This window comes from Homo sapiens, chromosome 14 (genome assembly GCF_000001405.40).
Source record: "Homo sapiens chromosome 14, GRCh38.p14 Primary Assembly".
Taxonomy (NCBI): domain Eukaryota; kingdom Metazoa; phylum Chordata; class Mammalia; order Primates; family Hominidae; genus Homo; species Homo sapiens.
Genome location: NC_000014.9, coordinates 56317234 through 56343556, shown reverse-complemented (window position 1 = coordinate 56343556; position 26323 = coordinate 56317234). Strand labels below are relative to the sequence as shown.

General features: G+C 42.8%; 1 long non-coding RNA gene across 2 annotated transcripts in view; it reads right to left on the bottom strand.

Moving 5' to 3' along the window:
* LINC02284 (long intergenic non-protein coding RNA 2284) overlaps positions 1 to 26323 on the bottom strand; it is a 116044-nt gene that overhangs the window by 83476 nt on the left and 6245 nt on the right. The window contains exons 2-5 of one of the 2 annotated variants that reach the window (NR_187174.1): positions 21946 to 22071; positions 17332 to 17377; positions 15196 to 15374; positions 13070 to 13135 (exon numbers count right to left, since the gene is read on the bottom strand). This is a non-coding gene — a long non-coding RNA (long intergenic non-protein coding RNA 2284). The remainder of the gene's footprint in view (positions 1 to 13069; positions 13136 to 15195; positions 15375 to 17331; positions 17378 to 21945; positions 22072 to 26323) is intronic. The other variant, NR_187175.1, reaches the window with a different exon arrangement.

Genomic DNA, 26323 nt, shown 5'->3' with positions numbered 1-26323 from the left:
GGGCTGAGGTAGGAGAGTTACTTGAACCCAGGAGGCAGAGGTTGCAGTGAGCTGAGATTGTGTCACTGCACTCCAGCCTGGGTGACAGAGTGAGACCTTGTCTTAAAAAAAACAACAACAAAAAAAACCTGAAGGGTTCTGCTCCGGGAGACTGGAATCTGGAATTGCAGTACTGATGGGCCAGAGGATGCCATGCCCAGCATCACTCGCTTGGCAGGACACACTGGCTAAGCGCTCCGACTCTGGACAGACAGCTCTGAGTTTAATCTCTTGCCTGTCGTTTTTGAGCTACGAGATTTTGGGCAAGTCTCACTTCCCCCATCTGTAAAATGGAGAGACTGCCGATAGCATCTATTTCATGAATCCTGTATGAGGACTAAATAGAATGATGTTTATATATGCATATAAGGTGCCTGAAATATATTCATTGACTGTTAACTTTTAATATCAACCATGCCATTTTTCTTATTAAAATTGACATAATGATTAATCAGATTTATTAAATTGTCTAGGAGAGAGAAGTCAAACCATAAACTACTATTAGAAATAGGAAGAGTTAAGCCCAAAAACTGATCCCTTCCACAAGGAAAGCACCTCAGTGCAGATGGTTTGGAAAGAGCTCTTTGACATTTGGCTCACCCTCAAGTTTCCTGTTCATAATCACAGGTGACTTCACATGGGTCGTAACAAGGACATCCTAAATGAAAAGTGAGAAGGACCATCTCTAACAAAAGCCGGGGGAGCTCACTCACTGCGCTGAAGGCCCTGTGAATGGGTTAACCATCCTGGGGGCAGAGCAAAGCAGTGTGACAGCTTCCCAAGAAGCTATTTTTATCTTGTGTTTTGAGCATCTGACTCAAGCTGGGTAAAAGGGTTCATTTTCTCACTTGGAAAGTTTTCAAAACACCAAAGGATTTGGTCAAGAGGGAAATATACTCACTCCAGCCAAATCTTTTTCCGTGGTCAAAAAAAAAAAAAGGCCAGCAAAAATTTAATCATAAATCTGCTTCCGGCAATATATGGACCCATTCAGGGGAAGTTGTCATTTGTTTATCAGTAGCAGACAGCAGCTTCCTGCAACCAACAGCAGCTGTCACCCTGCAAAAGGACATCTTTTCATTTTCATGAAGAGTAGTGAAAATTTTAAGGCAAAGCAAATGACAAAATATTTGACTGCATTTATCTGCCTTTTGGCTATTTTTACCCCTGTGCCATGCAAACGCCTTACAGGCTTTCCTGACAACATCTTACTTTTTATTCTAGTCCTGCTTAGCAGCCAAGGCATAGTGTTGCCATTTAAATTTTACAGATGGTGAAAGCTGAAACCCTGAAACTTCAGTAACATGAACACGGTGGGGCCAGAACTGGAAACCACTCCATGGTTGATTTAAAACTACCCCAAGTCCCAAGGGAGACACAACGGTCATCAGGGAAATGGGAGCGAATACCAGTTCTGTGTCAACTTGGAGCAGGGCAAAGTGGTGACCTAGGAAAACACACAGTCTAACTGCTGATTTCTTCCCCAGTGAAGAACTTGAGGTCTATAACACAGCATCATGTGTCTGCAGCGTAAGAATTCTGTTTTCTCAGCTAAGAATGAAGTATGAGATCACATGTTTATTGCTGCCGTTTACTTCCCACAATTCCTTTTTACATATTCATACTCTGGGTATTTTTTTTCTACATACCTCTGCCAGACTATGTCGTTCTCTTCTCATCCAGAGTTACCCTAGTTATTTTGCTAAAGTACCTGATCCCATTCATTCACTCATAGATCTTACACTGAATGCCGGCCATGGGACCTAGGGCTGGGAACCTGGGGACACAAAGATGAATGAGTCTCAGTTCCTAACGTCAAGGGGTTCAGGGGCTACCAGGGAAAACCGACATGTAAAGATGTAGGTAGATCTGTAAAGAAACGTCCTGGAAACCACAGAAGTAATTGTCTCTGATGGGTGAGGAAAGGCTTTCTTTTCTCCTTGATACCTCTCCTGAGTGCCTCTGGTTGCCTCACTTTGGCATCTCATCTCTGCCCTGCCCACTCTGCCCAGTCCCCCTTGGGTATTGACATTTCTGCTAATATCTCCCTCTCTGCACTTCAGATCAGACCTCCAACCCCTAAAGTTATGATTGCAGGTCACAGAGGACAGGTTTGTGCACATAGTACTAATTTTTTCAAATATCTTAGCCATGAGCAGTTATTTTGTAGAGTAAATCAATGCTAATTCTTTAGAGCAAAGCAACATTAAAGTCTTTTTCTTTTTTTTTTTTTTCCTGAAGCACATTCTGAAGATTATAATCTACAAAGAGTACTAAAATGAGAAAGGATCCCTGGGCCTAGCTTGGTACTAATTTTTATTCATCTGATTTATAGAGTGGGTAGGTGAGGTAATGTCCTCCTCATCTCTGGACTGGGGATATGCTGACAGCTCCATCCATCAGGCAAGCTGTCAGAGCATAACGCTTCAAAGAAGCTGTTAAACAAAGGTCCAAATGGCTAACACTTCTAGGAGATGAAAAAGCAGAAGTTAACCTTAGTGTCCAGGGAAAAGTATTTTGCTCATCTAGTAGAGAAATGGATGTAGCAGTAAAGTCTTTAGACAAAGGTATTAGAATTTAAAGACAAATTCCAAATACATGCCTGGATTTCTGCTGCCTTTATGATTCTGGAAGCAATTCCTGGTTAAAATGTATTGATAAATAATCAGCCAGCAACGTTGATCTCACTGAAACTAGGATCCATCTTCATTAGCAAATTTAAGGATCACTTATGTCTATAAATATAGGGCAGAAGAAATAGAGGGGATGTAATCCAAAGTCCGCGGTTATGCCTGTCCACCAAGGAGCTGGATTGCAGCTGGTGGTCTTTAACAATTAGGGGCATGAGAAGGACAATGATCATTTACACAATGACATTAATAGTGTAGTTGGTGACCATTTTATGGTATCTTGAAGAATTTTAGGCACATACAAAACATCCAAAGGACATATTTTAGCTGCTAGGTTTAGTATATTTTCTTTCTTTCATTTCAACACCTTCAATGCCTTTCAACAGTTTTAGATCCCTCTGAGTTTTAGATCATCCAAGTTCCTCAAGGACAGAGAGAGGTTCCATTAGAGCATGACAGACTCATAGAACGACCTCTTTTGAAATCTAGGTCACACAGACAGCGAAAGTATCTCCAGTGGTCTCAGAGATCCTGGCCATGGCTCGGGGCGTGGAGAATAGCTTCAAGAATGGGGGCCTATGCAAGAGGGCCCTCAGCCGGCAGATGGCACTACAGTGTTTGGCAGTCTGAACTTCGTGCGTGCTCTTTAATAAGGGCCTTTTCTCATCATTCTACTCAAAGTGTTGTAATTCCCTCTGATTGTCTTCTCTGCCCTCATTTGACTTTGCTGAGTCATTCCATGCTGTGTCATGAAACTCTGTGCTGCTGCAGGAGACTCAGAAGAAGCTCTAAACACTTTGTGGCTGTTGGGATAACTCAACATGGGGGGCAGGCTGCCATGCCAAGAACCCCAGTGAGGGTGGCTGAGGAGAGGGTCTATGTACGGGGGTAGTGTGAACCCGAGGGTGATGAGGGAGACATAGCTTTGGGTGGCTCTAAGCCTCTCAAAGCATTTGAAGACTCCACTCTAAGTGAACCCTCCACCTCCCCACCTCTCTCTCTCTCACTCCCCTGCCCTGACCCAAAGGCTCCAAGTATCCATATTGCATGGGCAAGTGCATTCTCCTACAGGAAAGATGGGGATGCATGTCAACCTCATAAGCCCCACATAGAAGGGAGATTTCTATCTCCCAGCTGTGCCTGTCTCATTTTGCTTGGAGAAAGAAGGGGATCACAGAGGGGTGGATCACATGCTCCATAAAGGCAAATATTCTCCCCTAAAGAGAACCTCTTTGCTCCCACTGTTGGAGTTGGTGTCAAGGTGGAGTGGGGATGGGAAAGGATATATTTTTACAATCCTCTCCTAATGTCTAAGGAGGAAGGATCCCAAAGAAGATCCCCTAGTTGCTGAAGGAAGATGGGGGTGTTAAATTGATTCAGGTGGGTGGATGCAAATTGGAAGGGGGGAGGACACCTAAATTATTCTACATAATCAGAGGAGGAAAGAGATCAAGAGAAAAACTGGTGGGAGGCAGGGAGGACAAGAGAGAAGGAGACAACTAAGGTGGAGATTTTGATGAAGTGTTGTGTAGTGCAGCGTTTGATATATTCTCTTCTCCATCTTTCCAGAAACAGCCTGGAAAACCGACATTACCAAATAGTGCTTTACGAGTTCTATTGAGGTGGGGAGAAATGAAATTTGAGGAGGGGTTCAGTCTTGGGGAAGTGTTTGTGCGTGATCAAAAGGCAGGAGCAAGAACTGCCCGATGTGCTACGCCAGAACTGAACAACGTGATATAACTAGTGAAGAGTGAGGGACAGCACTCCACTTGGGTCTACTATTGCTATGGCCAAGGTCATTTTGCAGTGTCAGGGCCACTCTCCAGGTGAGTTATGGGGAGAGACCACAAAGAACCTGGAGAGATAGCATGTTTCATCCACCTCTGCTACTCTGCCAGTGATCTGAGAACAAAAGGCCCTCCCAGCCTAAAAGCAGGAATTTAGTGGGGCTCAGTGGAAGTGTTTGTTTTGATAAGAAGCTGCTTTAAAGCCACCATATGTTTGGTTTGATGGTGACACATGGCTGTAAGTGCAGCCTGGGCCCAGATACTAGCTTAGTCAGTGGTTCTCTACGTGTAGGCCCTGGTCCACAAATAACGATGTCACTTGGGAACTTGATAGAAATGTCAACTCTCAGACGCCAACCAAATCTGCCGAACCAGACACCTGAGAGGTAGGGCCCAGTGATGTTGTTAAACAAGTCCCCTTGGTGATCCTGATACATCCTGACATTTGAGAATAACTGGATTATGCAACAATTCTAAATGTTTGGTATCTGAACCCCAGTAGGGCTTGTCAAACACAGAATCCCAAAATCTCTAGCACAGACACCAGAGATTTTGGCTGTGTAAGCCTTGGGTGAGCTTGGCACCCTTTGTTTAATAAGCTCTGCAGTAATTCTTGTCCCCATCTAAGTTCGGGAACCACTAGAGCAACAGATTAAGAAGAAACTGAGTCCATATCCTGAAATTATGAGCTAATGTGGCTGGCAAATTGAACAACTTATTGAAACAATAGAGACCTTCCAGGATAAGTAAAGGAGCTTAATTAATGTTCCCAATTAATACAGGATGTCCTGCAGCTCATGGAGAGGAAGCTTTGGAGATTATACTTAGGGAAGAATTCTTCAACCTTAAGCTCAAAGCTTGACTTCAGAGAATTCAAGCAGTTATGGAATAAATGGGGCCCCAGGGAGTAACCCAGAGACTAATTCATACCTCACAGGGCAGCAGCTGTGGCCCCAAGTGTCCAATGCAGATAGGGCAGGGCACCCTGCTTCTCCAGGCAGGATCTAGAGTTCAAGAGTAGTCCTTAGAATCACCCAGGAGTTAGGAGGTGGGCACAAATGCAGATTCAGGTTCCTGAGCCCCTCTCAGGCCTGCTGAATCCATTTGTAGGATTGGTGACCAAGAATCTAAATTCCTACTGTGTGCCTTAGCTGTCTGTCATGCACATTCCAATTTGAGAACCACTGATCACCGAGTGTGGTTAGCATCACTTACACTTTGGTGAAAGGCAAAGACTATCCATGCAGTTCCAGGGTCAAAAGCTCGTGGGCCAGGCGCAGTGGCTCACGCCTCTAATTCCAGCACTTTGGGAGGCTGAGGCGGGTAGATCATGAGGTTAGGAGCTCAAGACCAGCCTGACCAACACGGTGAAACCCTGTCTCTACTAAAACTACAAAAATTAGCCGGGTGTGGTGGCACGTACCTGTAATCCCAGCTACTTAGGAGCTTGAGGCGGGAGAATCACTTGAACCCGGGAGGTGGAGGTTGCAGTGAGCCGAGATTGTGCCACTGCACTCCAGCCTGGGCAACAGAGCAAGGCTCTGCCTCAAAAAACAAAACAAAACGAAACAAAACAAAAACAAACAAAAAAAAGCTTGTGGCCTGGAGGGAGAAGCAGGGAAGATCCATCTCTCACATTTCCACCTTGGGAAGGGCAGAGAGTCCTTGGTTGTGGGTGAGGCCACTTAAAAATTAGTTTCCATGTGTAGGCAAAACACGTAATATTTGAGATATGCAATATGTAGTATTTAAATATATTAAGTTTAATATAGCTCCATGGTAAGAGTGCTTGTCTTCTGTTTAAAATATTCCCACGAGTAATGGGAAAGTAAGAAAATGCCTAGCCAGCAATATACCATAAAATTTCCTAGGGAAATTGCTTTGATATAGCTATAAATATAAGATTTCCCATAATATTCAATTTCCTCATTTCTTGTTTATTTTGTAATCCCATTTTCCTTAGCGTGTCCAGTTGAAAAATTCCTTAAGTAATAATTAAAAAGAAGTGAGCAGGTGCATGTTTTGGAGACGGTAAGGAAGGGTTGCAGTTAGGAGGGCTGGAAAGTCTGTGTTCCACTCTGCAGGGGAGCGTGCAGGAGGAAGAGAAGCCCAGGCCGAGGGGTCACGAGGGGTTACCAGCGAAAGGAGGGTGAGCCCAATCCCTGAAGCCTCCAGAAGTGGCCAACAGGAGAATGCATCCGAGTGTCCCGTTACTATTTTCACTGAGTCCCTCTCAAAAGTTGAACTGCCCACTCATCAATTTGAATGTTTTTCACCAGTTAACCCAGTCTAACAATAGGTTTTGGAGTACACATGCCTGTGATTTAGAAGTAACAAGACACTTTACATCTTTCCCTAAACATTTGCATGTCTACTTCTACAGCATAGACTTGTAGTATCTTTAAAACCCTTTTCTCCCAAGTGCAGCCTCATTAGAAGTCAACTGGCCTTCTGACTAGCATTTCAGACTCTGATTATTATACCAAAATCCATTAAACACATAAAGTCTCTTATTGGAACCTCCAATTAAACCTCAAGTCTCATAAAAGAGAATGAAGTGATTATAGGAAAGTGATCTAATACTATGCGAAGTGTTGGGAATGATAATGCTGGGAATGAATGCGGTGCCTTTTGCCCAAGGAGCTAAAATTAACAAAATCTAATTTTTCCCAATTCGAAATGATATAGAAAGGAAAATGTAAATAAAATGACTCGGAGTAAGTTCAATATAATGCTAACTTTCATTCAAGGTAAACCCATGGGTTAGTTAGAACTAAACAAATTAATTGTTCCTGGTGAGCCCCAGGGATTGGCTCACTTTCCCTTCCCTAATACCCGCTTCTGACTCCGTAACTTGTTCTTTTTAGCCCAAGAGGGCCTTTTGTTCTCAGATCACTGGCAGAGTAACAGAGGTGGTTGAAAGACGCCATCTCTTCGGGTTCTTTGTGGCCTCTTCCTATAACTCGCCTGGAGAGTGGCTCTGATACTTTAAAATGACCTTGGTCATAACAATAATAGACCCAAGTGGAGTGCTGTCCTTCACTCTTTGCTAATTATGTCACGTTGTCCAGTTCAGGCTTAGCACATCATCTCCTAAACTTTGTCTAGTGGGGTAGGTTTTGATTCTTTTTTTGTTAATTATCTGACCTTGCATATGTCCAAGTTTTTCTACTGTGAAATGGGAATAAGTGTAACTGCCTAACCTAACCCCTGGATATATTGGGTGTAAACGTTTTATGCAATACCAGAGAATCATCATCATAATCATAGTAGAAACCAAGGTGCGGCTGTTCCTTCATTTTCAGGTTTCTAGAGTTTGGTGCTTTCAGGGGAATCAACACTGTACTACACTGGCCAGTATCCATGTACAGGAGGGCAATGGTTCTCACACTAAACTATGCCTGAGGACCAACTGGGGATCCTGTTAAAATACAGATTCTTGGGACCTGCCCCCAGAGATTTTAGTTCAATGATTTGGGATTGGGCTCAAGAAATTCATTCGTCCAGCAATTATGTGCAGACATTGTTAAAGGCACTAGGGTGATGGAAGTGAACGAAGAGACAAAAATCCTTTCGTGGTCTATCTGCATTTGTAACAGACCTCCAGGTGACGCTGAGGCCATTAGCTGTACTCTCCCAAGGGCCACACCTTGGCAGCAGCACATGTCAACTAGTGACAAGATCTACTCTCTGCTATGCCAATGGAAATTTCATCACATTTCCAAACTCTGATTCTCCTTCTTTTCCACTGGGACCTACTTTTTGGCCACAATCTTCAGGAATTAGTTTTTATATTCAGGAACAATGGTTCACTGGGGTCCTTCTCAGCAAGTTCATTTACTCCATTGCTTTTTTATTCCAGTATCATACGTTATTAGCACTGGGTTCCCGAAGGACCTCCTTAGCATCAGAGTCTTTAAGAAGGCTCAGGAAACATCACTTGTACCAGAGACTTTGGTAACAGGAATCATCAAGAAGATGTCTGGATTTGACTTTCAAGGATCAGAAGACAATTAACTTGATGAGTTCTAACCTAAACCACAAGCTTACCCTTAAGAAAAATTAGCCTTATACTGAACTTACTCCAAGTCATTTCATTTACATTTTCCTTTCTATACCGTTTTGAGTTGGGAAAAATTCACTTTTGTTAACGGCCCACACATCCTGTGGAATGAAGCCTTCATTCTAAAATGCAGTTGATTAATTTCACTAAGTCCTTTGATGCATCAATACTAAAGATGTGTGGGAAACTTAGCTGACCTGGACCAACAGAGCAAATGAAGTAGCTTCACAAGGGCATTGGCTGATTTTAAAAAAAAAAAAACACTTTTTACGTGCAATATCTACCTTAAAAAAGATGTATTAGTAAACAGAGCTGAATTATAAAAAATTCTTTTCACTCCAGCAAGCCTCAAGTACCCAAAGCTGACAACAGATGACTCAGTGAGTAAAATAAAGGCAGAACAAGGCAACAAGGACAAGTAAGACTTTAAGTGAGTAAAGGAAATGAAGAACTACAAAAATACCTAATAGATTTTAGGTTTATTGAAAAATGTATCTAGGGAGATTGCTTAAGTTATATTTCATGTAGTCCATATTTTGTTTATTTATGTCCTGCCTCCTTCCTAAAAAGGATTGGAAACTGCTCATTTATTCTCTGTATCTGGTGTGAGATAACATTTTAAAGAAAAGATTACTGTTTCATTCTTAATCTCCTTCCTCACAAGTTCTCCAACCATTAAAAAATTTCAAACAGGATAAGGAAACGACATACTTCTCTTATGATAAGTTTTCCCATATCCAGAAAAATCTGCCATTTTAATAACTATTTTTTATCAATCTTAGAGATCCTCCCAGCTCCAAAAAAACTGGGTCGGTATGTAAACATTATGTTTGTAGTTGATGGCAGTGAAATTGCACAACGAAGCGTCTTGCTTTATTTCTAATTTTAAAAGTATATGTGAAACTTTAAAAAAGAAGTCTCCAGTTTTTGAAAACAAGCTTCCTTTTCCATGTCCTTCTAGGCCTTGGCCTCGTGCATACACATTTTACATACATGCACCTCTTGTGTGCAATTGTTTCACTTAACATTGTATTATAGGCATTTTCCCCACATTGTTATGCATTTTAACTTTGAAAATTTAAATTGCCATTTTTAATGGCTACATAATTGTCCATAGAGTTGCTGTATCATTAGAATACAGGAAAAGGAAGGCAGATATTTGAGCAGATGGCCACGACACAGTTCAGGAAATGAGTCACATCACTGTTGTTTACAGTGTGCTGGAGCACTTCATATTCCAGGGAGAGAGGTCTGGCCCTGAAGAGTTGATTACTGTAAGGGCTTATTTATCTGAAACACATAAGATGGAAGCTGTCCTGGTCTCAAATTTGTTTTGAAGCCACTCTTTATTCATTTCCTGTATTAATATCCTTCAAGGGACAATATGTTCTGCAAAAAGCAGAGTGAACACCTGAAATGAAACAACTCATCCCTGCATTCTGCACAGTGGCTGGGCTGGTAGGTGTGAGGGCTAGGGGCCTCCCGATGCCCCAGTTCTCTCTCTCCCTCTCACACACACACGCCACCACCACCAGCACTTCAGTGGAGTTACAGTGTACAAGGCATATAGAATATGAGGCAGCAGCAGAGTGTAGTGGCCACGAGCATGTAGTCTGGAACCAGAACTTGACACTCGTGTTCTTGCATCTTAACCTTTAGCATCTGTAAAAATGAGGTAATAATAATCACTTAAAGTCTTACTTGTCCTTGTTGCTTTGTTCTACCTTTATTTTACTCGCTGAGTCATTTGTTGTCGGCCTTGGGCACTCGAGGTTTGCTGGAGTGAAATTGATTTTTTATAATTCAGCTGTTTACTAATAGATATTTTTAAAGGTAGATATTGCACATAAAAAGTGGTTTAAAAAAGAGGATAATAATATCCTCATCCTATGGAGTGAGGATAACGTTCACTCCATAGGGTTATGGTGGGGATTGAATAAGGTAATATCCATAAACATAAAGAATAGAATTTGGCACGTGGTAAGCGCCATGTCAGTGCTTATTACTATATTTTCTTGCCACTCACTTCTTTTTTTTTTTCTGAGACGGAGTCTCACCCTGTCACCCAGGCTGGAGTGCAGTGGCGTGATGTTAGCTCACTGCAACCTCCACCTCCCGGATTCAAGCGATTCTCCTGCCTCAGTCTCCCAAGTAGCTGGGACTACAGGCATGTGCCACCACGCTTGGCTAATTTTTGTATTTTTAGTAGAGATGGGGTTTCACCATGTTAGCCAGGCTGGTCTCGAACTCCTGACCTCAAGTGATCCACTCACCTCAGTCTCCCAAAGTGCTGGGATTACAGGCGTGAGAAACTGCACTTGGCCTCCACTCACTTTTAAGGACAGCAGAGCAGAGGTCCAACTGCCAGGACAATAACTGGGCATTATCACCCCTTTGATAATAGGAAAGAATACACTTCCCTGTAACATCCTGACCACTTCTATCTGTGTCCCATAGAGAGAAAAATGACACTTATTTTACAAAAATTTTAACCCAGGGACAATATGTGAGACCCTGTGTGTACATTTTAAGCCCACAACTAAAGAACCACTCCTGGAAGTTTAAGCCTTGGTTTCGACTTCAAGCACATAGTGTGAGTGATACTATTTAGTTAGTACAAGATTCTCTCACCACCATTACTGGCTACCATTTATTCATCACCTACCACCTGCCAGGACTCTCTCTTTCATATAAGTACATCTAGCCCTCACAACAACCTTATAAGGTAAGTATTATTATTATTATTATTCCCATTTTATATTTAAAAGATGTGGGAACTTGGGGCCAGAAAGATAAGGTGATTTGCCTAAAGCCAAGTGGACTCAGAATTAGAATTTAAATTTAGGTCTGGTTAACTCTCAAGTCTATTCTTTTCCCACTGCGCCCACTCCTGTTTACTGTCATCTTTGTACAAAGAGGACTTGAGCCTTGGGGGCTTGCACTGCTGATTAACTAAACTGGCTAATGCCTACAGCTGCTGTGCTGAACTGTTCAGTGCTTCCCACATGTGTCCTGGGCTCCATGCCAGCCCTACAAACCCCCCTGCCTCCCGACACCCACACCCGCTCTTCAGACTCAGCATCTATGCTCCTGACCCTGGCCTGGGTTGGATCCTCCACCCTGCTCATGAAAAGAGTAGTGTGAAATTGACATCGAGACAATCAGATAAAGCTGGCTGGTTCTGGTCCTACCTGTCAGCTACCTCCTCCTCTGTTCCCACATCTGGCGACCTTCTGTTTCACCTCAACTCCTCTGTCCACTCTTTACCCACTTCCTGCTGAGTAGGCGTTGAGGTTATACAGGAGGTGATGGAGACCCCTGTCTCTTTTCCCTTCCCCCCTACCTGGCACTGGGCACGAGAATCCCTGATTACACTCCTGGAAGTGAGGGGGCACACACCTCCCTTGGGATGGAGAAGAGTGAACTGAGAGAGGTGCAGAGGCCTCACTCACGCTGAGTTGCTTTGGAACATCAGGCAGAAGGGGCTCACACTCCAAACCCACACTGAGATCACAGCATCTTCGTGAACTGATTTTAGGAGTTCTATTGCCCCACACCTCCCTGGCCCCCAAAGATTCAGATGTTGCAACCCTATCTCCCCATACATCAGAATGTGACCTTATTTGGGAACAGGGCAGATGTAATTGGTTAAGACGAGGTCATAGTGGAGTGGCCTTTAATTCAATATGACTTGTGTCCTTATAAAAAAGGGCAAATGGGCCGGGCACGGTGGCTCATGCTTGTAATCCCAGCACTTGGGGAGGCCGAGATGGGCGGATCACAAGGTCAGGAGATCAAGACAATCCTGGCTAACACGGTGAAACCCCGTCTCTACTAAAAATACAAAAAATTAGCCGGGTGGGTGCCTGTAATCCCAGCCATTGGGAGACTGAGGCAGGAGAATGGTGTGAACCTGGGAAGCGGAGCTTGCAGTGGGTGGAGATCACTCCACTGCACTCCAGCCTGGACGACAGAGCAAGACTCGGTCTCAAAAAAAGAAAAAAAGAAAGGGCAAATGGACACAGACATGCTCACAGAATGCCTTCATGTGAAGATGAAATATCTGGATGATGCATCTACAAGCCAAGGGATATCTGATTGCCAGCAAGCCACCAGAAGCTAGGAGAGGACATGGGACAGATGCCTCCTCATGGCCCTCAGAAGGAGCCAACCCTGTTGACGCCTTGAGTTGAATTTCTGGCCTCCAGAACTGGGAGAGAATAGCTTTCAGTTGTGTGAGCCACCCAGTTTGTGGTATTTGTTACGGCAACCCTAGGAATCTGCTAAGCTGGAGAGATGCTCAGAGGAGTCATGAAAGTGTCTCAGCTCTGGGGTGAGGTAGGGAGAAAATCGAGTCAAGGTTGTGGGAGTGGCTTCTGGATGGGCTGAGGGAGCCTGGTTCATGGACAGGCCCCAATCCCTAGCTGAGTTTCTTCAGAGAGAGTTCGAGACCAGAAACAGCTCGCCCTCATCAAATGCCCAATGCCACGGGCAGTCTCTGGTGCCTGCCTGGGGATATGGGAAAAAGCGAGATTTTAAGCCTGGCTCACCTTCATGGTAAGGAGTCATTACAGCTTTCATGGGCCTTAGGCGCTTTGGTTTTTCTGGGCTTCTTCCTGCATTTAAAAAAATAATTAAAATATTTTATGACTTCATTGGTGTAAAGACAAGTATAATCTATGCTGGACCAATCACTATATATTTGTTATTATTATATTCATTTTTCTTCTGATTTTAAAAGAAGCTAAAATTGAAACATTTTCTGTGGCCCCCTGAAAGTGGTGTGGGCTCAGCCGCTGCGCCTGCTGTGCCTATGGGATAAGTTGGCCCCACCCCACAGATAAAATGAGAGAACCATCAGGGATGCAAAAAAAAAAAAAAAAAAGACCTTTTCTGGATGGTACTGACACCAAGAAACTGAGTCTTAAAAAGGACTCCGAGCGAGTGTGTTATATTAAGCTCTTTCTCCATCCTTTAAAAGCTATGCAATTGCTACGCAGCTTGCATATCTGGTGTCAAAAGATCCATAGTTGCCTTTCATTTTTCCTTTACCTCAGGATGAACCAAAAAAATAAATACTTCCAGGTATCGATAGAGAACCTTGCTACATATTGGCTGTCATCACCTGCAAGCGTGTCCATAAATCCATACCCCTTCTGCTAGGGCAGCTGTTGTACATTGTCAGAACCCTGCATAAAACATCTCCCTATGTACTGTATTATTGGCCCTCCTGATTTACTGTATATACAGTCTGCAAGTTAAATACCAACAGAAGCACCCGAAAATATATTCTCTTGCAGCCTCTGTCTGAAAACTGCATTGCCCAAATAATGTCTGCTCATTCATCATTTACTTCCCAATATCTGAATGTCATTCTCTGAAATACATCTCTACAACAGTGCCCTGTGAAACACCAGCCCAGAGAAGCAGAAGCGGAATCTCCAGCTTCAAGGCCCAGACATTTAAAAAGGGGGCCTGTTTCAAAAATGAGACTAAGCAATTCAAACCGTTGGTATCTCGCGTCCCTTTAAGGGACTTTTACGGCTTCCCTTAATGTAATATTGGAATCCTTCTTCCTTTTACGCACACCTCCTAGCATTAGGAGCAGTGATAACAAATTGAATACGTAAACCCACATAAATGGTTCTCCCTAGAATTCATTAGGAAGTATTTTTGTTTACACAGAATTCCAATTGATTTCTGTGAGGGATCCAGGAGCATAGATTTCTACTTAGTGACAATCCACTGGAACACACAAATCCAGACGTAAAACTGATTCCCATGTGATATAGTTTGGATCTGTGTCCCTGCCCAAATCTCACGTTGAATTGTAATCCCCAGTGTTGGAGGTGGGACATGGTGGAAGGTGACTGGATCTCGGGGGTGGGTTTCTCATGAATGGTTTAGCACCATCCCCCTTGGTGCCGTCCTTGTGACGGTGAGTGAATTCTTGTGAGATCTGGTAGTTTAAAAGTGTGTGGCACCTCCCCACTGCTCTCTCTTGCTGCTCCAGCTATGTGACATGCTGCCTCCCCCTTCACCTTCGTCATGATTTTAAGTTTCCTAAGGCCTCCCCAGAAGCTGAGCCGATGCCAGTATCATGCTTCCTGTACAGCCTGCTGAACCATGAGCCAATTAAACCTCTTTTTAAAATAAATTACCCAATCTCAGGTATTTCTTTATAGCAATGCAGAACAGACTAATATACCATGTTACAGGTTATCAATACGAGAAAAGGAAGAGTGTAGTGGACATGTACTTGTTTCATAGACTGATCTAGGTTTGAATATCAGCTTTACAACAACTAGACAGACATTTTTGAGCCCCTGATCCCTCATCTAAAAAATGAAGTCAATGCCAATGCAGGACAAGGTTGACTGGGAATTCAACCTCCATCCCCTCCTTTCTAACAGAACCCTAGTTTTGTCTAGGTAATTACTCATCCAGGGCTGGCTTCATGGACAGGTGACAGGGCCACATGCTCAGAAGGGTCCTGTGCTTGGGGAAATGCTCTGCTATTACCATCTTGAAATGCTTAATAATTTTATCTTAGAACTTCTGGTTTGCAAGTAAAGTCTGCTGGGACAACACAGCACACAGTGAGCAGGTAAGATAAACATAATATGCACATCTGCTATCTTAGCCATCCCATTTGCTACCTCCGTAACATACTTACCTTCTACTTGCTTTTACTCTTGCTGGACTCCCATCACTGTGGCTTCACTGGAATTCGATGATCATGTTCTGTATCAACATGTCTGCAATTGAGTAGGTAGGGGTACTGACAGCCCCGGGTGGCTATACTTTCCATTCCAGTCATAACTTGCTTGGACACAGAAAGAAGGCAGTGGTATTCTAAGAAACACAAATGATCAAGGAAGCTTTTCACAGCCTTTCTTACTCATGTTACACCTTTGTGTTAGTCAAACACTTATTCTGAAAATGATGGAAGGGAAAGATAAGGCAACCCATGGTTCTTTTATTTCCTTAGGTCCTTCCTTAATCACAATGAGTAGCAATGTAGAGAGTGTTAGCAGAATGTGCACATATCAAGAAATGAAATAAAAATTGTTGAATTAGTTGTGTGCAGTATTTCCCTGCTTGGTAAGAATGAAATACTGTGCATTTATGAGCTACAAACTATGAATTACTTTATTTCACAGATTCACATAGGAATTAAGTTCCCTTATATATGCCAACCACAACCCTGGCTCCAAGTGTGGGAATGATAGCACCAGGGGTAATTTCATCCCACTTGCTGGTGATTGGTCCAGGACAGGCATGCCACTCAATCAGACCAATGAGAAGCTGCTAGGGACTCCTGAGAAAGTTCTGACTTCTGCTTCCAGAACCGACTCTCTTTATTCCATCTTTCTACAAAGTGAGGATGAAGTCAACATGCAGAGGAGGGTAGAGTCACAAATTCATTGACAAAAAAAAACAACTTTTTAAAAGAATTTGCACGGCTGGGTGCAGTGGCTCACGCCTGTAATCCCAGCACTTTGGGAGGCCGAGACGTGTGGATCACAAGGTCAGGAGATCGAGACCATCCTGGCTATCACGGTGAAACCCCGTCTCTACTAAAAATACAAAAAATTAGCTGGGCTTGGTGGCGGGCGCCTGTAGTCCCAGCTACTCGGGAGGCTGAGGCAGGAGAATGGCGTGAACCCGGGAGGCGGAGCTTGCAGTGAGCGGAGATGGTGCCACTGCACTCCAGCCTGGGCAACAGAGTGAGATTCCGTCTCAAAGAAAAATAAAAATTAAAAAAAAAAAAGAATTTGCCGAAAAATAGAACTAAAGCTTCCAGTCTAAGCAACCTAAACACTGGTCTCCTGCTGTGACTTCCAGGAATGCGAACCAACTATTCCATTGTTACTAAATCCAGTTTATGATGGATTTTCTGTAACTTGATGCTGAAAGCACATTGATAAATGTTTGTTGACTGAGTGGATGAATGTGTACAGCATTATAATCCCTGGCATTGGACTGGCCATGACAAACTTTATGGCTCTTAAAGGAGGAGTCAATCTGACAGCTGAAGAACAAGGAAGAAGGCAGTGCAGGAAGGAAGGGGCACCCTGGTGTGCGCAGGGGTGAGAGGCTGACAAACATTAGGGGTCAGAAAGGAACATGGTCTGGAGATGCAAATGATTCATGCAGGGAGAGCAGGGACCATGGAGTGGCTGCCCTGGATTTTCAAGGGTCTGGGATTTTCTCAAGGTCGCCGGCGTGGTTAGTTGTAGGGGAACCCTATGCTATGTGTAGAAGTACTTGGAGCGGGCCGGGCGCGCTGGCTCACGCCTGTAATCCCAGCATTTTGGGAGGCTGAGGCAGGCTGATCACGCAGTCAGGAGATCGAGATCATCCTGGCTAACACGGTGAAACCCCGTCTCTACTAAAAATACAAAAAAATTAGCAGGGCATTGTGGCGGGCGCCTCTAGTCCCAGCTACTCGGGAGGCTGAGGCAGGAGAATGGCGTGAACCAGGGAGGTGGAGTTTGCAGTGAGCTGAGATCGCGCCACTGCACTCCAGCCTGGGCGACAGAGCGAGACTCCGTCTCAAAAAAAAAAAAAAAAAAAAAAAAAAAGGGCTTGGAGTAGTGAAGAGATCTGCAGCCGCACAGCCATGATAAGATCTTAGGAACTACCTCCTTATTTATATAAAGGTGCTTTACTGAAATATTAATAGCTCAGTTTGGGTTTGAAACCGAGCTGTGCCTCTCACTAATGGTGTAACCTAAGCAAGTTACTTTATCGTTCTGTGTCTTGGTTCCCTCAAAAGGAAAATGAAGAAGATATGAGCAGTACTTACCACCTCCTTTTCCATGAGGATAGTGAGGTCATCCAGCGTTTGGCACCTGGCAGGAGTTGCGTGGATGTTGGTTATTGTTATGTCTTTTGATTGCCTTACATGGTTCCTTGCAGGGGGAGAATTTTTTTTTTTTTTTTTTTTTTTTTTTTTTTTTTTTTTGGGAGTCCACCATTCCTACACCCTTCCCTCATCTTTTAATGTCTGGAGACTGCTGTCTGCAATTGTAAACCACTCTTTCACCTTCCTGATGCCCACATTACATGTAGCTTATTTTTGCCTTACTGATATTCAAGCTGAAGGAGGATGATGAAGAAGCTCTTGGGACCAAATTCAACACCAGCCAGTCAGCCTCCCTGACTATCCCCAACAGAGACTGGAGTGGCTCGATTCTACAGCTTAGAGTTTGTAGAGGAAAAGCTAAAATCCACACAAGAAATATTTCTGTGGCCGATTTCAGCTGATTTATAAGATTTTTTTCAAGTAAATAAAGCATATTTTCACCATTTTCAACATATCGTAGTATACTGTCCATCTTGGTGATCTGTTTCCCCAGGCCATATTTGGCAACATTTGGTATTACCTCCCACAGACTCTTGCACTTCCTTGGCCACAGGAATCAGATACGACCCTGTTAGGGACAGCACGTTTTCTTTAGTTTATTCATTCATATTCATTTAATGCTTATTGCATGCCAAGTACCATTTGGTGAGCTGCCTTACACAGTTATCTGCATTTTATATATTATGTGTGATATAACGGATGATCTTACACATATGTACTTCTGCATTTCAAATAGCTCAAAGTAAACTACAGAGGGAATATGCAACTTAAACCACAAACTACTCTTTAAAAACTTTGCTTCAAAACTCCAACCAAGAATTGGATAGTTTGTAATTGCACTGATTTCTGGCTCCTGGATTAGTCTAATCTTTCTGAAGTGGATATAGAAATATAATTCCATTCAGCACATCGTTATCACCAATATTTACAGCTTGCCTTTAAAAAGTAAACAAATTGGAGAAACTAGAAAAATTCTCAACCACCAAGTCCCCAAATTTCCATGAATCTTTATATTAATGTGATAAAAGATATAAAAGTTCTTGGCTGTGGTTTAATACTAGAAGATGATTCAGATGTAGAACATCTGACAAAGATTTTAAAAATTCTTTTTTAATGAATATGCAGACGAAGCAAGCTCAGTGTAGAATAACAAAATCACATATGTTGTCAATTATTGGAAACACACAGCACAAACAGCCAATAAACACAGGTAGAACCCCTCAGTGTTGTTGGTAAGATTATGGGGGTGGGGAGAGATTGCTTACAGCTGTTATGTTAATTAAGGAATAAAATAGCTCCATCTGCTACTCCATCTCTCCGTCGAGCTACCCACCCTTTTTGCTGCTTGGTTCTAAGTTGACACTGAACTAGGGAGCTGACACCTAAGTCCCTGGCCTCAGTTGGTTTCCATGTTGAATAGAACTTGGAGAGGAAGGTATGGCAGGCTGAGTCACAGACTCTCATCTGAACACATCTCCATCACTCTTAGGCCTGAGATGGGGGTGGGTGGCATGGCAGGCTTGCCTTGTCCCATGCAGATGTAGCTGTGGTTATGGGTAAAAATCTGTGGAGTCATCTTGCTTTATTTTTCCACATAATTTGCATGTAGCACTAACCCCATTAGTACACAGTGTAGCCACCAATAGTCAGCTTTGGTTGCAAGATCCTAGGAGAGTGAAGTTTGGGATTTTTTCCAGTGTCTTTCTTAGGGCCCAAATCAGAGACACTTTCTGCTAACTGCTGAGACATAGATTAGACCACAGACTGAATACATTTTATAAAAAATGGGGGGCTTCTCATGCATCCAGCCTTTATATATGAGCAAGTGACACTTTGTAGCTTTCTCTATCACCTCATGTTCCCTAATTAGGGTAAAAATCATTCTGTCCAAGATGAAGGCAGGCAGAAGAGTAAGGAAGATTTAAAATGCATTATATTCATTACCATGCTTAAAGCCATTAGTATGTATCAAAAGTCTTTAATAAAATAAACATCCCATTGCTTTAAAAAGTCAGTGAAAAATCATATTATCCTCCCTTTTGTTTTTTCTACTCTCTTTTCTGGAGGAACTAAGGAGCAATGAAATATCAAGAAGGTAGTTAAATTTCAAGAGGAAAGATTCGTTGAGCACCTGTCATGTGGTGTGCATAGTCCTTTATGCGCAGAGTGCCCCATTGTCTCCCTCACAGAGTCCACAAACCTCCCCTTGCTCTCAACTAGAGACCAGGAGAATTATTGTTCTTTCTAGCCCTATGATGGAATTGGCAATCCCTTCTTGAATCCTTCCACCACCCCTCCCCGACACCATGTCCCCCTACACGACACAATCCTTGAAAAAAGTGGCACATAACTGCAAGACTCATCCCACACAGAAAACAAGGAGAACAACCATTGACAACTAAGTGTTTCTCTAAAGAGGCAGCAGGGCTCAGGGGCAGAAAAGGGTCAGGTGGCGGGGCATGTTTTATCAGAAGAAAAAGACCAAAGTCATGACAACAGAATAGATATTCTTTCTTTGAGACGAAATTGGGTTAGTGACTCTAAGAAAAAATATTAAGGTTTACGTCAGTTGCAAGCTCTCTTAGGAGTGGAGAATGGTCTGAGACTGGGATGCCCCAGTTTATCTAATTCTTTGGAGCCATCATTATCTTCCTCCAGAGATTACGACACTCAAGAAGAGGAAAATATCGGCAAAGATTGGTTGAAGAGCTGAGGCATTACTCAAATTGCAAGGTGGAGGAAAATGTTCAGGTTACTCTTCTCTTCTTTTGGGGAGGGGTAGAGCTTTCTGAGGGAAGGGGCTAGGCTGTTTGTGAGGCATCAGGGGTGGAGGTGCTAGGAGCCAGCGAGCAGAGAGGGATGGCGGGACATGCCCCCAGGAAAACAGGTGTCGTAGGTATCTGTGTTTAGGTGGTTCTTCCTATTTATGCTGCAGGAAGACAGCTAAGTGGATTGTTGGTTGTTTCAACTTTTATTTCTCCCAGACTCTAATGTCCCTCTCAGAATCGCCTGATCTTTCAGTAAAAAGCCCTTCCTTCCCACCATGCCATCTACACCGTCCATAATGTGCGTGTCCATTCCAAACCATTTTTGGGTGAAGGGCATTGAAACAGATGCCAGTGGCTCTGGAGAGCACCAGAAATAAACTTGAGAAGCTCAAGACAGTGTGATACAACTTCTTTACTGCTTCTGTAGGTTAGTGAAGATTCCCCTAATAATGATATACACAATCTAAGTTATATTCACCTTAACCACCAAATAAGATTGCAACCCAAGAGGCTGTGAAATTCTTCTTCCTACATTTCTTTGAAACAGAAATCTCTTTAAAATCATCCAAACATAATGGTGAGAGGGCATGTGGAACAGTTCAATCCAGGGCTTACAGCAGTAGTCAAGAGTAAGATAAACAGTGTGATGAGGATCATGCAAGCCCAGCGTGTTGAGGAGCCCAAGATGCTGAAGGCTTTTGTACTGGGAATCATTGTAAAAATGCAAACAATGATGATGAAACTCACTGACTGGTTACAAAGTGCCAGGCACTGTTCTAACTGCTGTCCATGTAATAACTCATTTAATAAACAAATATTTTTGCAAATCAAGTGCAAAGAGAATAGAAGAGGTCTATTCGTTGTCCCTAATTTCCCTTGCAAGGCATACTAAACATTCAAACGAGCTTCTTTCTTGGTATAATTTATTATTTACTAATCACTGATGGCATCCTGAGACAACCAGAAAGAGCCAGCCTCAGACACCAACATAGCAAGGCCAACTCTACTAGATTCTACTAATAATGAAGTTCCCATCCCAGGTTCCCAGGATCACAGCCTATTGCAGAAGTGTGCAGCAGTCTCTCAGTGGTATAGATTTGAAATAGGTTGAAATAATGTTCTGTTGTTTGAGGAACATATATGGAAGCAGCATTGCTAAATAAGCTATCTTTTAATCAAAGCCAATTTAACTATGTTTTTCTGTTTATAATTCATTAACTTTAAAAACATGGTACTATACAAAACATAGAAGTCATGAATTAAAATCCCTGCAGTCAAATTAGACTCTGCATGTCTGGGATATTTAAAAGATAATGTATAGGGGTTGCCATGGTAACTCATCAAGTGGTAATTCTGTACCTTTCTGAGTGAAAACCTTGAAAGGAGAAGACAAGCAATTTGGGGAGATAACAGCACCAGAAATTGAGTTCATCTGTAACTTAGGCTCTCTGTGAGTTTGTTTACCAGCTATTCACCATGTGGATGAAAAACAGTAAAAAGACAAAAAAGATTCACATTTCAAGGCTCCCTAAAATTGCCAATTCCACTCTATAGCTGATTCTCAGCACAGGAGGAAATGGGACTAGAATGCTGGGAGATGACACTATCATCGAACAGTGAGCTCCAAGGAGAAGCCTAATTGTTACTTCTCAATGGCAGAAGGCGGGTGCTTCCCCCGGGGCAGGATTCTGTTTAATCCTTAGGTTAGAGCCCAGCTTCAACCCAGTGTCACAGGTCAATTACCACCCTCCAACCCTGAGGGGCGACATGAACCATACTCACGCACCGGCGCATGCTCCCTCCTCAGCACCTCTTGTACATTCAGAGCTCCTGCATGGGATGCCGAGAACTCACACCCTTCCAGGGCTGCTGAAGATCATATGACTGATCATCAACTTTGATTTTGACCCATCTGTCAACAACGACACAATTGATGAAAACTTTTCAGGCTTTTTTGTAACTCTTTGCTTTCTCTCTCACCTTATTTAGATGGCATTGAATCCAGGTTCTCTAAGACTGTCATCCCCACTCTCACACCTGTTCCGGTTTCTCTGTTTAAAATATTTGTATGAAAACCGATAGATTATAAAATCTACTTCCTAAGCAGGTAAGTTGCCTAATATGGTCAGGAAATGCGAACGACCATAATAATCGTGAGGACATTATTAGTGGCAGGGATTTATGTCACTTAGCTTTTAAAATTCCAAACGATGAGGAATAATAGAATCAATTGCATGGGTGTTGTCAACGGTGCTGAGTTATGTTATTTTCAGTGGAGGCAACTTTTCCCCTGCCCGGGAACACTGGTGGTTGGGGGTCTTATGAAAAGTCAGTGATGGCAGAGTTGTGACAAAGTGAGGGCCAGAGAAGGGTTCTCTTTTTAGATGATGTGTAAGCGTGATGAATATGTTTAGAATGTAGATACAGATAACACATTAGCAAACAAAGTAAATAATTAATGTTTTAGTTATCTAGACAATTCCAGTGTTTACTGGAGTTACACTGGATTCTATTTCATTTATTAGGAATTTACTTAACTTCCTAACTTTGCACTGGAGAATTATTTATGAAGCAACTAATGAGGCCTGGATAGGGATATCAATGCTAAATCAACTGGCCATGCTTGAACCAAAGGGTTCTACCTGGGAGCAGTCTACTTTTCAATACAAACCAACAGCTATGTGCTGATGAGCCATAGCAGTAATAAAAGTGGTTCTATTCTATAAATGGCATATGTTGCCTTCTACAACAAGGCATGATAATGTGCCTTTTCATGCCAGGCACCTTCCCTGATAATGGATCAGTTTCCATCTTAGTTTCTACAAAATTACCTCTAATCCCCTCAGACCACATTCATCAGAGGAAAGCCTTCACTGAAATTAGCTTGCTATAGAAAGTGTTAATGGCTACAAAACATTGTGAACGTACTTAATGGCACTGAATTCTACACTTAAAAAAGGCAGTAATCATAAACTGCAGGTTATATATATCTTATCATAATAAAAATGCTATTATCAAGGTTTTTTATAAGAGTGATATGGTAGAGGGTGTTAGGCTGTTCTTGCATTGCTATAAAGAAATACCTGAGACTGGGTAATTTATAAAGAAAACAGGTTTAATTGGCTCCCAGTTCTGCAGCCTATACAGGAAGCATGATGCTGGCATCTGCTTGGCTTCTCGGAAGCCTCAGGAGACTTACAATCATGGCAGAAGGTGAAGGAGGAGCAGGCATGTCACGTGGTCAGAGCAGAAGCAAGAGAGGGAGCGGGGAGGTGCCACACACGTTTAAACAATCACATTTCATGAGGACTCACTCTATTGCAAGGACAGTACCAAGGGGATGGTGCTAAACCATTCATAAGAAACCCACCCCCATGATCCAATCACCTCCCACCAGGCCCCACCTCCAATACTGGGGATTACAATTCAACATGAGATTTGGGCAGGGACACACATCCAAACTATATCAGGGTGCTAGGGAGGGGAAGTGGGAAAGAAGGGTAAGACAGCACTGAAAGGGAGGAAAGGAGGGAGAGGGAGAGGAAGAGAGAGAGGGGGTGGAGCAAGTGAGGGAGGGAGAGAGAAAAAAAGATATTGACTGATGAGAATGAGTTTCAGAGTATGGCAGAAGTTTTTTAGGTAGACGAAAGTGTGAAGTGTTGCAGTAGACATTTGTGATGCTTGGCTGCCTGGCATCTGAACACCCTTTCTACTCTGGAGGAATCTCAAGATGAAGCTGAGGGTGGCATTTGGGGAATAAACTGACTGAGGCAGATCTAAGAGAATGCATATGCCTAGGATGCTACATCTTGAGGGAGGGACTAAGATGCAGGTTAAGCCAGCTGTGGATGGCTCTGTTGTGTCATTTCCTCTGGTTCTTGCCCTTTCTCCTGTTTTTTTTTTTTTTTTTCCAGCTCTCATGTTAATTCTGCAATAAAATCCTTCTGGTAACTTTTTTTCAACCTAAGTTATTCTATGTTAGTTTCTGTGGTTTGCAATGTTAATACAAACAGAAAACAAATAATTACTCCCACATTGTCAAATAATAGTTGAAATCAAGTTCAAAATAGAATTTCAACTGTGTTTTGTTTTTTTTTTTTTTTAGCAAAATGAGAATCTTAGCTGAATTGGTAGCCACAAATCTTCCTCTGTTGTGGCAAAACCGTTTGATCTTGCCCATTTTCAGTCAAACAGGGGCTTGGGTAATTGGGAAATAGTTTTCTATTCTATCACAAAATCCAAATCCCCTGGAAGATTAGAAGGACTGATTTCATGCTCTCTCTCTTTTTGTTATGGCTTCTTCAAAGGTTGCAGTAGGAATTCCCAAAGAAGAGTCTGTCTTTTCCCTAAGAGCCTTACTAATGAGATGCCAGCAGCAGAGACATTATCTAGTGGACCCTGGGCTATTCCTCCAGAGTGAGACAAGAAAGAGCTGACTAGGACCCAGGCTCCAAACCACAGAGCCCCATGCTGAGAAGCAACCTCATTCCCACTTGGGAGGGCAGGTGAGGGGGTGGTTTTTCTCCTAGCATAAAGTCTTCATCTCTTTCTTTGAGTTTATCAACCTTGATACTCAAGACAGTTCTGAAGAAATTGTGGAGCCCTGGTATGGTTTGGCTGTGTCCCCACCCAAATCTCATCTTGAATTCCCACATGTGGGAGCGACCTGGTGGGAGGTAACTGAATCATGGGGGTAGGTCTTTCCTGTGCTGTTCTCGTGACAATGAATAAGTCTCAAGAGATCCAATGGCTTTATAAGACGGAGTTTCCCTGCACAAGCTCGCTCTCTCTTTGCCTGCTGCCATCCATGTAAGACGTGACTTGCTCCTCCTTGCCTTCTGCCATGACTGTGAGGCTTTCCCAGCCATGTAGAACTGTAAGTCCCTTAAACTTCTTTTTCTTCCCAGTCTCGGGTATGTCTTTATCAGCAACGTGAAAACGGACTAATACAAGCCCAGAAGCGCCCAAACCCAAAATGTCTGTGTAGCAGCAGCATCTCTGGCTGTGGGTTGACCAATGGGGTGTTTCTGTTTACTTCTTCTTCACCTCCTCTCCTTTTTCCCTGATGATTTGCCCACAGGTGTCAGAAATGAGCTGTGTACCAAAGCTTATTTACATCCTAACTCTAAGACAAACTATGCTTTTAAAAAAGCTACATTATCTCTGAGGATTTCAACCAAAAGGCTGAAATCAGAATCCCAGAAGCCTGTATTGGAATCATTTGGGGTGGGTTTATTTTCTCCTAAATGATGAACATTCACTGCCCTTGTCCTCTAGATGTGCACACACCCCCATTAGGATAAGCACTCACTTTTCGTTGAGGTGACCAGGGCAATGTGCAGCAGGTTTTTTTCAGGATGAACAGTTCCTGGTGGGGATTTGCACCCAGTGTTTCCTGCTCCACATCCGCATGGTATCCATCAGGCACATGGTGGAAACCAGAATCTGGGTCCATCCTGGCTCTGCCCTTTAAGCACCAGGCTGCTTGACAGCACCCCAGTTTGCACTTGCATTTGGAGAATTGTAAGGATTGGGGAGAAAACAGGGTGAGAACATGTCGGGCAATGCAAAGCACTCTAGAAACACCATTTGCCAGTGTCATGAGTTCTAGTTGTATGGGGTGTGAGTGCTAATGCTCTCAAAGGACCGCTCTGGAAAAGAAATGAGGCTGAATGTTAAACAGTGACAAGTGCCTTATGCCTTGCTTCAATGAAAAAAAAAAAGGTCTTCTTTTTCTTGCTATAGAAAAAAAAAATGGAAATTGAGAACATGAGTGACTTACAGGTGAGCTGGTTCCTCTCTGAGAAGTTCGAAAATGTGTACCGAGGTAGAAATCATCATAACTTTGTTAACAGAGGTGTCCATTTTCTTTCCAAGAGATATTAGGAGCACTGGGAATTTATATTTGATTTCCTTACTTTGTTTTCTCTCTGCCAATTCTTCTAATGGAGAAAATACGTGGTTATCAGAGAGAAAGAGGAATAAAAGACAATGTTACTATGGAACAGGCTATTACCAAGCCAAGGTTGATAATGGAGAGGAGTTGCATTTAGGAAGATATATAGTGATGTCTGACCAAAGTGAAAAAAATAAATAAAGAGATTCTGTTACGGACTTGGCATTATCCTTTGTAAAGTTGGCACACTATTTTCAATTGCAATTTT